General features: G+C 55.5%; 2 protein-coding genes and 1 long non-coding RNA gene across 6 annotated transcripts, besides 5 other annotated features; 2 read left to right on the top strand and 1 right to left on the bottom strand.

Annotated features, from left to right (window-relative positions):
- Window positions 6,927–8,120, bottom strand: ZNRD2-DT (ZNRD2 divergent transcript). The gene has a single exon (NR_038923.1). It is a non-coding gene; the product is annotated as a ZNRD2 divergent transcript (long non-coding RNA).
- Window positions 7,542–8,261: an enhancer, noted in NCBI's record as "active region_4988". NCBI's record gives its function as "activates an Ori minimal core promoter by ATAC-STARR-seq in GM12878 lymphoblastoid cells {active_cell/tissue: GM12878}" and the evidence as "EXISTENCE:reporter gene assay evidence [ECO:0000049][PMID:35858748]".
- Window positions 8,184–9,595, top strand: ZNRD2 (zinc ribbon domain containing 2). Of its 2 annotated transcripts, NM_006396.3 has the most exons (4): window positions 8,184–8,217; window positions 8,311–8,462; window positions 8,593–8,677; window positions 9,098–9,595. In NM_006396.3, exons 1-4 carry the CDS (start codon window positions 8,199–8,201, stop codon window positions 9,439–9,441), a joined length of 600 nt encoding a protein of 199 aa, NP_006387.1. In that variant the 5' UTR covers window positions 8,184–8,198; the 3' UTR covers window positions 9,442–9,595. The 2 variants fall into 2 exon arrangements, with proteins under 2 accessions (NP_006387.1, NP_001289953.1); NM_001303024.2 differs by having other exon boundaries at window positions 8,184–8,462.
- Window positions 8,272–8,501: an enhancer, noted in NCBI's record as "active region_4989". NCBI's record gives its function as "activates an Ori minimal core promoter by ATAC-STARR-seq in GM12878 lymphoblastoid cells {active_cell/tissue: GM12878}" and the evidence as "EXISTENCE:reporter gene assay evidence [ECO:0000049][PMID:35858748]".
- Window positions 10,116–10,565: a silencer, noted in NCBI's record as "silent region_3539". NCBI's record gives its function as "represses an Ori minimal core promoter by ATAC-STARR-seq in GM12878 lymphoblastoid cells {active_cell/tissue: GM12878}" and the evidence as "EXISTENCE:reporter gene assay evidence [ECO:0000049][PMID:35858748]".
- FAM89B (family with sequence similarity 89 member B) lies at window positions 10,245–11,897 on the top strand. Of its 3 annotated transcripts, none has more exons than NM_001098784.2 (2): window positions 10,245–10,667; window positions 11,060–11,897. In NM_001098784.2, exons 1-2 carry the CDS (start codon window positions 10,377–10,379, stop codon window positions 11,231–11,233), a joined length of 465 nt encoding a protein of 154 aa, NP_001092254.1. In that variant the 5' UTR covers window positions 10,245–10,376; the 3' UTR covers window positions 11,234–11,897. The 3 variants fall into 3 exon arrangements, with proteins under 3 accessions (NP_001092254.1, NP_001092255.1, NP_690045.1); NM_001098785.2 differs by having other exon boundaries at window positions 11,070–11,897; NM_152832.3 differs by having other exon boundaries at window positions 11,109–11,897.
- Window positions 11,845–12,364: a silencer, noted in NCBI's record as "silent region_3540". NCBI's record gives its function as "represses an Ori minimal core promoter by ATAC-STARR-seq in GM12878 lymphoblastoid cells {active_cell/tissue: GM12878}" and the evidence as "EXISTENCE:reporter gene assay evidence [ECO:0000049][PMID:35858748]".
- Window positions 12,735–12,874: an enhancer, noted in NCBI's record as "active region_4990". NCBI's record gives its function as "activates an Ori minimal core promoter by ATAC-STARR-seq in GM12878 lymphoblastoid cells {active_cell/tissue: GM12878}" and the evidence as "EXISTENCE:reporter gene assay evidence [ECO:0000049][PMID:35858748]".

The following is a 13,123-nucleotide window of genomic DNA, read 5'->3' on the forward strand; positions in this document are numbered from 1 at the left end:
TGAGCTCATTCCTCTGTCTGGGGATGCTCTTCTGCCAACTTCATGGTCCTCATGTCAGGGTTCCTGCAGATGCTTTTCTCTAAAACAGCCATCCCTTGGCCAGGCGTGGTGGCTCACGCCTGTAATCCCAGCACTTTGGGAGGCCTAGATGGGCAGATCAGTTGAGGTCAGGAGTTTGAGACCAGCCTGGCGAACATGGTGAAAACCTATCTCTATTAAAAATACAAAAATTAGCTGGGCTTGGTGGCGGGCGCCTGTAATCCCAGCTACTTGGGAGGCTGAGGCAGGAGAATCACTTGAACCCGGGAAGCGGAGGCTGCAGTGAGCTGAGATCACAGCACTGCACTCCTGCCTCAGTGATAGAGCAAGACTGTGTCTCAAACATAAATAAAATAAAAATTAAAAAATTTAAAAAAATGAAATAGCCATCCCTAGCCCTCTGGGTCATATCACCTGTGTTTTTCCCTGGTATTCCACAAAATCTGAAGCATTCTTTGTGGATTTGTTGACTTGCTTATTGTCCAGCTTACCACCCTCTCAGGGAGGGACAACCTTGTCTCCAGATCCCAGAACAAGGCTTGGCACAGATAGGGTGCCGAAGTTTGTTGATTGACTGCACAGAGAGGCCACAAGAGTGCCTGCCATCTACCATGCACTTTACACTGTGGGGTCACGTCATCCTCCCAGTGACCCTGCAAAGGGAAAACCAAGACTCTGAAAGATGAAATGACTAGACTCAGCTGGGCGCGGTGGCTCATGCATGTAATTGCAGCACTTTGGGAGGCCGAGGCAGGCGAATCACGAGGTCAGAAGATAGAGACTATCCTGGCTAATACGGTGAAACCCCATCTCTACTAAAAAAAAAAAAAAAAAAAAAAAAAAAAAATTAGCCGGGCATGTTGGCGGGCGCCTGTAGTCCCAGCTACTCGGGAGGCTGAGGCAGGAGAATGGCATGAACCCGGGAGGCGGAGCTTGCAGTGAGCCGAGATAGCGCCACTGCACTCCAGCCTCGGTGACAGACAGAGACTCTGTCTCAAAAAACAAAAACAAACAAACAAACCAACTGGACTCAGGTCACCTGGTGATTGAACCCAAGCCTGCCTGATCCAGAACCTATATATACAATGATCCTGGGGAGAGGAATGAGAGGTGTCCTGAAGGCATCAGGAGCCCTGACATTTGCTCACAAATGTCCTGAAGATAGGTGGGTAGGACCCTGAGGGCAATGAGGGGCTTTGCTGGAATGGGACAAGGAGGAGGAATAGGACCCAGGCCCAGGGAATGTTCGGGCTAGTCAAATGTTCTTGAGGTTCTTGGGTTCTTGAAGCCCAGAGAAGATATGGGACTTGACGAAGGTTACACAGCCAGCCATCAGCAGAGCCAGAACCTGAACTCAGGGCTCCTGATGCCATGTTAAGGGATTGGCTGGACAGGGTGACAGCAGCTGCATGATGAAAGTTCTGTCTCAGGAGGCCGCATTGCAGTGGTTGTTTTCTAGCATTAGATCATACTGGCTGTGTCATGCACCAGCTAAGTGAATTGGGAAAATTCTTCAACTTCTCTGTGCCTCAGTCCTCAACCCCCTACCCTTCCTTTTTTTTAGAGACAGTCTCTGTATATTGCTCCGTCAATATAGAGTCAAACTCCTGGCCTCAAGTGATCCTTCCCGCTCAGCCTCCTGAGTAGCTGTGATTACAGGCACACAACCCTGCACCTGGCTTTCCTCATTTTTAAACAGGGAATGAGGCCAGTCTCAGTGACTCATGCCTGTAATCTCAGCACTTTGGGAGACCGAGGTGAGCAGATTGCTTGAGGCCAGGAGTTCGAGACCGGCCTGGCCAACATGGCGAAACCCTGTCTCTGCTAAAAATACAAAACATTAGCTGGGTGTGGTGGCGCACACCTGTATTCCAGCTGCTTGGGAGGCTGAGGCACAAGAATCGCTTGAACCCAGGAGGCAGAGGCTGCAGTGAGCCGAGATGGCGCCACTGCACTCCAGCCTGGGTGACAGAGTGGGACTCTGTCTCAAAAAAAAAAAAAAAAAAAAAAGGCCGGGCACGGTGGCTCACGCCTGTAATCCGAGCACTTTGGGAGGCCGAGGTGGATGGATCACAAGGTCAGGAGATTGAGACCATCCTGGCCAACATGGTGAAACCCCATTTCTACTAAAAATGCAAAAATTAGCCAGACGTGGTGGTGCGCGTCTTAGTCCTCAGGAGGCTGAGGCAGGAGAATTGCTTGAACCCAGGAAGCAGAGGTTGCAGTGAGCCGAGATTGCGCCACTGCACTCCAGCCTGGCAACAGAGCAAGACCCCGTTCCCCCCCACCAAAAAAAAAAAAAAAAATTAACAGGGAAGTCCGGGTGTGGTAGCTCACACCTGTAATCCCAGCACTTTGGGAGGCCGAGGTGGGTGGATCACTTGAGGTCAGGAGTTCGAGACTAGCCTGGCCAACATGGTGAAACTCCATCTGCCAAAAATACAAAAATTGGCTGGATGTGGTGGTACACGCCTGTAATCCCAGCTACTCAGGAGGTAGAGGTTGCAGTGAACCGAGATCGTGCCACTGCACTCCAGCCTGGGCGACAGAATGAGACTCTGTCTCAAAAATAAAAATAAAAATAAAAATAAGCAGGGAATCAGTGGGCTGATATTTATGAAGCCCTTAGCAGATGCCTGCCAAATAGTAAGCACTCAGGATATGTGAGACCTTTTCATCATTGTCTGGATCTGCAAGCCAAGATGGGCAGGGTGGTGAGAGACGGGCTGCTGGTGGAGAGCCACCGTGCCACGAGGGCTGACTGTGTGTCAGAGGCTGTGCCGCCTCCATGTGTTGTCCCTCTGAGTTCTGAATGTCTTTGGGAAGCTTCTGGGCTCTGAAGAAAGAAATGGCTCTTGGCGAGGGGGTGGGTGGGTAGAAGGGAAGGGGGTCACACTCATCAGTTTTATTTTTTTTTTGAGACAGAGTCTCACTCTGTTGCCAGGCTGGAGTGCAGTGGCACAATCTCAGCTCACTGCAGCCTCCACTTCCTGGGTTCAATCGATTCTTGTGTCACGGCTTCCTGAGTAGCTGGGATTACAGGCAGCCACCACCACCACTCCCAACTGATTTTTGTATTTTTAGTAGAGATGAGGTTTCACCATGTTGGTCAGGCTGATCTCGAACTCCTGGCCTCAGGTGATCTGCCCGCCTCGGCCTCCCAAAGTGTGGGATTACAGGCATGAACCACTGCGCCCGGCCTTGCTCATCAGCTTTAAAGATGAGGGATGGAAGTGATGAAGGCCTGGAGGGGACAAGGTTGCCCTAAAGCATTTCTCTCCAAAGACACTTTACTGAAAGTGGCTATTAAACCCCTCTAATGTGCCACTTACTGTGGGTAGTAAAACGATGGACACTGAGAGTTGGGATTGGAAATGAGATGAAACTACCTTCACGCTTGATAAATCAGGGGGCCCTTCTGCCCTGCCACTCTTCCCCGCCTTTTGAGCACGGGAGAAATCTACTGGTAAGAGCTCAGGCTCAAGAGGTACACTGGCTGCCAGCCGGGAGCCCCAGCCCTGCCACTCCCAACTGGGTGACTGTGGATACATCTCTCACTACTCCAGGCCTCAGCCTCCTCATTTGCAAATTGGGAATGATGATAAGACCTAGCTGCCAGTGTTGTCCTAAGGAATAAGCGAAATACTTCATAAAGAGCTCTTAACACAGTGCCTGGCCCAAAGAAAACACACACACCAAGTTGAGTGTGATTATTTTTATTGTTGTATCATCCAGCCACTTCCTGTTTCACAGAAATGTCAAGGTGATTCACATTGCAGTGAAAACCAAAAAAAAAAAAAAAAAAAAAAGAATAGCTGACCCCTTTTCAGTGCCTGTGTGAAAATACAAATGATAAGTTACGTTTTTCAGAGGCCAGGCAACATGGCATAGGCCACTTGTTGCCATGTGAACCATCCCCACCAAATCAGCCAGCCCAGGGGGAGCTGTAATTGAGCTGTGCATGACTGAGCTGCTGTGGGGTGCTCTATCACCCAGAAAAGAGCCTAACTACAGCCATGTCATCAGTGCCACAAGGAGGGACCAATTTGGACTGGCTCACATGAAACTGTGATTCCCTTCCCTCCCCCTCCCCCTCCTCCTTTCCCTCCTTTCTCTTCCCTGACTCCATGCTCTGTTGCCCAGGCTGGAGTGCAGTGGCAGGATCTCCACTCACTGCAACCTCCGCCTCCCAGTTCAAGCAATTCCCGTCTCAGCCTCATGAGTAGCTGGAACTACAGGCTCGCACCACCATGCCCAGCTAGTTTTTGTATTTTTAGTAGAGATGGGGTTTCACTATGTTGGCCAGGCTGGTCTCGAACTCCTGACCTCAAGTGATCTGCCAGTCTTGACCTCCCAAAGTGCTGGGATTAAAGTTGTGAGCCACCATGCCTGGCTGAAGGTGTGATATATTGTCGGCAAGGGAAGGGTGTGAAAGAGCCCAAGCCCATTGCTCCACAGACACTGGCCTGTCCACTGTGACTGCTGCGAATAGGTTTTACCACCAACACCTGTGAGCACCTTCTATGTCAAGGACTGTGAAGCATCTGAGATCTTACCCACTTGCAAGCTACCAAGGTAGCCCGTCAGGTTCAAGAATGCTGGCAGAATACAGGAGAGTCCTGGGTCAGAGACAAAGGACTTGATCGCTGTGCAGCAAACAGCATGAGCACCAGCATATTTCCGTTAGTTCCTTTTGACCCTAAGTCCCATGGGGGTGATGCTGATGGGCTCAGGCAAGTGTGGGCACACAGAGCGAATTACATTGTGGGAGAGGACCCTAAGCTTAGGAAACTCAAAGCCAGTAAGCATGGCTGTCCTTTGCTCTGGAGGGAGACACTATCTCCATCTTCCATAGCTGTTCCCTAGATAAACATCTTTGAAGCTGGCGCGGTGGCTCAGGCCTGTAATCCTACCACTTTGGGAGGCTGAGGTGGGCAGATCACCTGAAGTCGGGAGCTTGAGACTAGTCTGGCCAACATGGTGAAACACCGTCTCTACTAGAAATAAAAATTTAAAAAATTGGCTGGGCGCGGTGGCTCATGCCTATAATCCCAGCACTTTGGGAGGCCGAGACGGGCAGATCACGAGGTCAGGAGATCGAGACCATCGTGGCTAACACAGTGAAATCCTGTCTCTACTAAAAATGCAAAAAAAATTAATCGGGCGTGGTGGCAGGTGCCTGTAGTCCCAGCTACTTGGGAGGCTGAGGCAGGAGAATGGCGTGAATCCAGGAGGCAGAGCTTGCAGTGAGCCGAGATCGCACCATTGCACTCCAGCCTGGGCAACAGAGCAAGATGCCGTCTCAAAAAAAAAAAAAAAATTAGCCAGCTGTGGTGGCGCATGCCTGTAATCCCACTCCAGTGGGTGAGGCACAAGAATTGCTTGAACCTGGAAGGTGGAGGTGGCAGTGAGCCGAGAATTGCGCCACTTCACTCCAGGTTGGGTGACAGAGACTCCATCTCAAAAAACAAACAAGCAACAAATAGGCATAAGTGGCCCCATTTTTATTTTGAGTCAGGGTCTCGCTCTGTCACCCAGGTTGCAATGCAGAAGCCTGATCATGGCCCACTGCAGCCTGGATCTCCTGGGCTGGGAGCAATCCTCCCACTCAGCCTCCTGAGTAGCTGGGACTACAAGTGCATGCTACTGCACCAGCTAATTTAAAAAATACATATATTTCTTAGAGATGGGTTCTTACTATGCTGTCCAGGCTGGTCTCAAGCAATCCTCCTGCATGTCCTCCCAGAGTGCTGAGATTATAGGTGTGAGCCACAGCACCTGGTCTACTGGCCCTGTTTTACAGATGAGAAATTGAAGTCCACAGCGATGAAGTAAACTACTCCAGGTGATACAGTAAATAGATCCAGGATCAAACCCAGGCCTGCCTCATTCCAGTTCTGCGTCTTGTCCACCCTACAGTGGAACTTAAGATGGTGAGAGGCCCTGAGAGGAGAAAAGGGACAAGAGTCCTCTTGAGCAGTGGGAGAAGAGGGATGCAGGAAGGATGGGAGATGTGTGTGCATCTCTCTATGTGTTGTCTGGATTTGGGGGGTCAAGGACCAGATTTATAGGACCTTGGAGACCATAACAAGGACTTTGGATTTTTGTCTAAGTGTGATGGGAGATGCCAAATGGCTTTTTTTTTTTTTAGATAGAGTCTCACTCTGTTGCCCAGGCTGGAGTGCAGTGGTGTGATCTCGGCTCACTGCAACTTCTGCCTCCCGGTTCAAGCAATTCTCCTGGTTCAGCCTCCCGAGTAGCTGGGATTACGGGCGCCCGCCACCACACCTGGCTAATTTTTGTATTTTTAGTAGAGAAGGGGTTTCACTATGTTGGCCAGGCTGGTCTTGAACTCCTGATCTCAAGACATCTGCCCGCCTCGGCCTCCCAATGTGCTGGGGTTACAGGCGTGAGCCACAGTATCGGGCAGCCAGATGGTTTTTAGTACAAGAACGACACTGTATTTTAAAATAATTATTCAGTTTCCTGCTTATGTGGGGATATGTAAGGTTGTCATGAGGAGTAAATTGGAGAGATTAAGTGAGAGGACTCATGTAAGGCTCTTTGTAGGTGCGAGGCAGAATAGACAGTTGAGTGGATATTGGCCATGATGGTGACATAGTCGGCGCACTGAGGAATTCAGGGTAGGGCTGGGAGCTGGAGACGGTAATAACCTGGGGGTCTGTGCATACAGGCTGGAGTCCAAGAGATGGTTCAGAGACAGTTCCTCTAGTCAGCCTCAGGCTAGGTGCTGTGGCTCTTCGCTGTAATCCCAGCACTTTGGGAGGCTGAGGTGTGAGGATCACTTGAGTCCAGGAGTTGGAGACCAGCCTGGGCAACATGACGAAACCCCATCTCTACAAAAAATACAAACCAAACCAAACAAACACACAAAAAACGGTGGCTCTATTCAGCCTGATAGAAACGACTTGTGGTACAGGCCCTAAGTCAGGTACGCTGCTGCCCAAGAGCCTGACTGGTAGATGGAGATGTGAAAGGGACACAGGGCTCTCCACGTAAGCAGGAGGCAGCAAGAATGACAGTTCCAGGGGTTCTACGTGGAAGGAAGAGGGGGCCAGGAGGAAGGGACTTCAGGTCAGATTGAGGGGGCATGTGCCATCCGGAAGAGGAGAATGTCGATGTAACTGTGAAAGTCCAAGTCCTAGCTGCTTTTCCACTGCCCTGGTGTACAACCTCAGGCCCTGCAGACTGCACATCTGAGGACCCCTGCCTGCCCTGTCTGGCTTCTCTGAATCTAATAAGGGAGAAGATGCGTTTGAAAAAGAACACGGAAGAGGGAGAGAGAAAAAAAGCACCAAGGTCCATGTTCAGAGAGCCCTGGTAATTTTAACTTGCAACTCACCCAAGAAGAGCCTAATGGTCGCAAGAGTATGTAGGAAGGCCCCAACCCGACCCGGCCCAGCACGCAGCACCCAAGGGCGGCTGGAAGCGCAATGCGCGTGCCCAGTACAGCGCTATTCAGTCTGCAGGCTTTTTGAGGATTTCAACTTCAAAGAACGGTCGGCTTCGGGGCGAACTTTGCTTCAGTTCCAGGCCTCGGGAGGCAGCGAGGAGACAGACTGGGACACCGAGCATGCAGAAGGGGAGTGGTCTTGAAATACGCGGAAAGGGAGAATGCACCCCTCCTGGCCAGCCTTGCCGGGCGAAGTGAGAAGTACTGAGGCCTGAGAAGGCTCCACGCGTGCGCAAAGGGCCGCTCGCTGTGATTACTGGGGTGGCGATGGTTGTGATGACGCCGCTGCCCCGCCTGCGCCGAAAGGGAAACCCCAGGGGAGGCGGAGGCCAGCGGGGATTTCTGAAGCCAAGTGGTCCCCTTCATCCACGACGGACAGGAAGGGCGACCCCCTGAGGCCACTTCCAGGTCTTGCGACCGGAGGAGAGTTACCAAGGAGACGCTCCTCCCGAGGCCTCGCGCGTCGGAAGCTTCTGTCCCCTGGATTCCGGTTGACGGACGCGTCCCCCGAGCAGGTTCTCGGTAGCAGCCGACACGCCCCACCCCGGGCACAGCGAGGTCTGAGGACCACGCTAAGGCGTCACGTCCGCCCTGATCCGCGGCAGCTATGGAACGGGCGGAGCCGCAGCGGAGGGCGCTCCGCTTTGACGTCACTTCCTGTGAGCCCGGCGGTGACAACGGCAACATGGCCCTGAACGGAGCTGGTGAGGACCTGGGCGGCAGGGGTTTGTGGCTGTGAGGTACGGGAGGCAGCCCACTCCGGCAAGACCCCCAGTCCCTATGCCTCTCTTCCCCAGAAGTCGACGACTTCTCCTGGGAGCCCCCGACTGAGGCGGAGACGAAGGTGCTGCAGGCGCGACGGGAGCGGCAAGATCGCATCTCCCGGCTCATGGGCGACTATCTGCTGCGCGGTTACCGCATGCTGGGCGAGACGTGTGCGGACTGCGGGGTGAGGCGAGACTCGGGCGAGTGACCGGGGATGGGTCCGCGGGCCAGGCCACTCAGCCCTTCCCCGGCCCTCCCCTCTGGACCCCATTGCCGGCGTCTCATTCCGGCCCCGTGTGCTTTTTGGTCCGTAGACGATCCTCCTCCAAGACAAACAGCGGAAAATCTACTGCGTGGCTTGTCAGGAACTCGACTCAGACGTGGATAAAGATAATCCCGGTAAGAGTAAAAAATAATCCGGGAGAGGGGCCGGATATGCTTAGGGGGGAAGCGTGGTTAAGTGGTGATAGAGGCCCGAGAACAGTAGGGCTGAGAGGTGACAGTGGAGTCTCTGGGTGGGGTAGAAGTAAAATTATTTCTCCTTTAGGCTCTAAAGAGGACCCTTAACTCAATAAGAGCACCAAGCACCTCCTGTGTGCCAGCCACTGCGCGAGAGTCTGAGCTCAACCAGGCCCAGTACTGATGGAGAATTGAAGCTAGGGCATAAATGTGATACAAAGTAGAAAGTGGATGAGTTGCCTTATAGAGGGACAGGGAAAACACCTCAAGCACAGAAAGAGCAGAGCAGAAAAGGAGATGGCTCAGGGCTGAGGTGGGCCAGGCATCCTGACCATTCCACCCACTTTCTCCTCTTTTTAGCTCTGAATGCCCAGGCTGCCCTCTCCCAAGCTCGGGAGCACCAGCTGGCCTCAGCCTCAGAGCTCCCCCTGGGCTCTCGACCTGCGCCCCAGCCCCCAGTACCTCGTCCGGAGCACTGTGAGGGAGCTGCAGCAGGACTCAAGGCAGCCCAGGGGCCACCTGCTCCTGCTGTGCCTCCAAATACAGATGTCATGGCCTGCACACAGACAGCCCTCTTGCAGAAGCTGACCTGGGCCTCTGCTGAACTGGGCTCTAGCACCTCCCTGGAGACTAGCATCCAGCTGTGTGGCCTTATCCGCGCATGTGCGGAGGCCCTGCGCAGCCTGCAGCAGCTACAGCACTAAGAGAAGCCCCTGAGAAAAACCCTCTAGAAAAACAGCTGTTCCTCTGTGTGGTTTGTTTTTTTCCTGGTTCCAAGTGTGCATGCCAGCCCCAGCTCCACTCACCTTTTTCCAGCTTTTGGCCTCTTCACCTCTCCACTCTGCTCTCCTTGACGCCCTGAGATGAGTTGAGCTTGTTTCTTCTCAGTTTCCCCAGTCAGGATGAGGGAGTAGGTAGAGGACTATGTGATGCCCCTTTTCTAAGGAAGAAGCCATAGCCTTTTCAAAGGTAGCAGCCAGAGGGGTGGACCCTAGCCTTGTCTCTGGCAGCACCTCTGCAGCCTCTTCCGCCATCTGGTGTCCATTCCCCACCTGGAAGTGAGGTTTTGTGTTCCGATCCCCTTGATAGATTCCCCTCCTTCCCCTGAGCATCCTGACCCTATCAGCCTATCCCATCTCATGCCCACCCCAGGTACTCAGACACCGACAGGAGTTTGTGGTGACCCCAGCGTCAGGTGGCACGTTAGGCACCAAGTGTGGACTTGCCAGTCTCCTGACTCCACTGTTAGATCATTTTCCTTGGGTGTGGGGGCGGGGCGGGGCGCGGCGGGGAGACGGGGTAGCAAAAAGAACCGTGAAGAAACCACGCCTGCCCCCTTCAGCCTTTTCCCCCCTCCGCCGCATTTTTCCATCTCCCCTTGAGTGAGTGGATGTCCCGTTGCCTTTTCTCAGCTTTGCGCGACGTGGTCCCACAACCGTTGCCTTTTTAAGAGAGGCCCGGCCCATCCAGAGGGGGTGGGGCAGAGGCGGAGTCTGAGGAGCTGGGGAAGGAACAAAGCGAGGCCTGCGGGCGGCGGCTGGGCTCCGGCGGGGCCGCGGGGTGCGGGGCCTGCGGGCGGCGGCCCGGGCGGAGCGTTGGAGGGAAGGAGGTGGCATCGCCGTCCGCGCCGGCCCCGGCCATGAACGGGCTGCCCTCGGCAGAGGCGCCGGGCGGGGCGGGCTGCGCTTTGGCCGGGCTCCCACCGCTGCCGCGCGGCCTCAGCGGCCTCCTTAATGCGAGCGGGGGCTCGTGGCGGGAGCTGGAGCGCGTCTACAGCCAGCGCAGCCGCATCCACGACGAGCTGAGCCGCGCCGCCCGCGCCCCGGACGGGCCCCGCCACGCCGCCGGCGCCGCCAACGCGGGACCCGCAGCCGGCCCGCGTCGTCCTGTCAACCTCGACTCAGCGCTGGCCGCGCTGCGCAAGGAGATGGTGAGTGGGTGGGCGCCGGGCCAGCTGGGCGGGGGGCTGACGCGGAGGAACGCAGGGGACTGGGACAGGCGGCCTGGGTCTCAGAGGACTTGCAGGCACCAGTTGGGTTGCAAGGGTTATGGTAACAATAATTAGTGATAGTTACCAATTATGGCAGTAGTTACCATATATTTTCAAATGTTTTGCTGACGTTACTTCATTTCATCCGGCTAAATGGATAACCCCATTTTTTGGGTGAGGGTCATGACTAAAGTTGCATAGCTTGCAGGTGGTGCCTGATGTCCACAAAAACTTCGTTTAGGAAGGTGCGGGGAAGATGGGCTGGGGCCCACTATTCCAGGGGGCGGGGCTGGGCTGGGGTGGCCTGGACCCCAACTCCAGCCCACCCTCAGTTGTCTGCAGGTGGGGCTGCGGCAGTTGGACATGTCCTTGTTGTGCCAGCTGTGGGGCCTGTACGAGTCAATCCAGGACTACAAACACCTGTGCCAAGACCTGAGCTTCTGCCAGGACCTGTCATCCTCCCTCCATTCGGACAGCTCCTACCCACCGGATGCGGGCCTGTCTGACGACGAGGAGCCTCCCGATGCCAGCCTGCCTCCTGACCCGCCACCCCTTACTGTGCCCCAGACGCACAATGCCCGTGACCAGTGGCTGCAGGATGCCTTCCACATCAGCCTCTGAAGGGCTGGGGGGCAGGGGGCATGCACCCATGCAAAAGGCTCAGAAACTCCCCCTCCGGCAAGCCCTCAGACTTCGGAGCCTGCGCCTTCCCCCCTACCGCCTCACCTCACAGGAGGGCCAGGCATGTATTCCTCAGAGGCGAAACTGCCAAACTCTTTCTCCTGTCTTGGGTTGGCTGGCACTGGGGCGGGCATCTAGGGTACAGCCTCTGCTCATGGCACTGGGCCTCCAGTTCTTCCACATGTGTGCACCCCCAGCTTGGCCAACCCTCAGCCTTGCGGTGGGGCCCGAAGCATCTTCCCTTCCGCTTGGCGTCTCTGGGATTGGGATGAGTGCCTGGCTCCCATCTCCTCCTCACCTTTTGTTGCTATCGGCAGCTGCTGGCTCAGGGGCATCCCACCTCCGGGCTCTGGGTTCCTCTGCCCTGGAAGGGCTCCAGGACCCGTCCCAATAACCACCCACGGCCAGGAGGGCCAAGGCCCCGTGCTGGATATTTAAATTTAGGGGCCGGTCTCCAGGGCGCGTAGATAAATAAATACACTCAGCGTCGTTGTGCTCTGCCTGGCTGGCTCTGGGGCGGGAAGACCGCGGTGTTTGTGGCAGGTGCGGCCCCGCGCTCTGCCAGCAGGTGGCGCCCGAGACCCCCTCCCCCCCCGCCCCGCGCCGAGTGAAGGCCCTGCCGTCCCGCCGGGGCGGGGCTGGGGGCGCTGCCTGCTGGCCGAGCCTGGCTCAGCCGCCGGGTGACTGCGGTCGAGTCACTTCCCCTCTCTCGCCCGCGACCTCCGAGTCCCCCGCTCCCTCCTCCCAGTTCGCTTCGGGCTTTCCCTGCCTGCCGGGAAGGAAGGAGAAGGAGCCGCCCACCTTGAGGAGGGAAACTTTCCACCCCGCGCGGGGCGGGGTTGAGGCGGCGCAGGAAATGGGTGGCCGGAGTCGCCGGAGCAAGGGGCCCCGGCGGGGGCGGGGGAGGCGCCTCCGGGAACGGCCTGGGACCTCACGCCCCGCGGGTGGGAGGGAGGGGTGGCAGAGGCCGAGGGGAGTGAAGTCGCGGCACCTCGGGCCTTCCCGGAGGCCAAGCATGAGACTCCGCGGCGGTGAAGTTTGATTGGGGTTCCAGGGACCCGTATTCCCCGCTCAGTCTGTGAAGACCGCCGGCTCTCCCCACAGCACTAGCGGTCTTTACAGTTATCTGTGGAAGGTTTCTTAGGAAACCGGGGACCCACACCGCTGGGACTGAGAACCAAACCCAGTTGTCAAGCCCACCGGAAGAAGCCAGCACGTTCGGAGACAGTGGGTACTCAGCCCCCTACACGCGCACACGACACCTCACAACCTCCTGAAAAGAGGTGAAGCCGCACACCGAGGTGTGCGGACGAACAGCACATCCCCGCGCCCTGCTGCAGCCATTTGCCTCCTGGAGATGCAGCCCAGATGGCAGTCCTGGCACTCAGACATCCCGTTAAACCAAGTAGCAGTCACGCACCGGGCTCCTGTCCATTTACACACCTTGCAGAGCAGCGGGAAGGAACAAACTGACCTATTGCCCCAGGGCAGCTGACACCTGCAGAGGCTCATTACCATGCAGGGCGGGTGGGTAGGCGATAAGGGCTCTAATCTAGGGGTTCACAGCTGCTAACGCTCCAGGCAGGCTTTCCTGGGGAGGGAGAGTAAACATACACAAAAATGACACGTTTTCCCCATCCATTATAGCGCATCCCATTTAATAAGGAGGCATGGCAAAATCAGCCAGGCTTTCTGCTAAATGCCTTCTGAGGTTC

Source organism: Homo sapiens, chromosome 11 (assembly GCF_000001405.40).
Source record: "Homo sapiens chromosome 11, GRCh38.p14 Primary Assembly".
Classification (NCBI taxonomy): domain Eukaryota; kingdom Metazoa; phylum Chordata; class Mammalia; order Primates; family Hominidae; genus Homo; species Homo sapiens.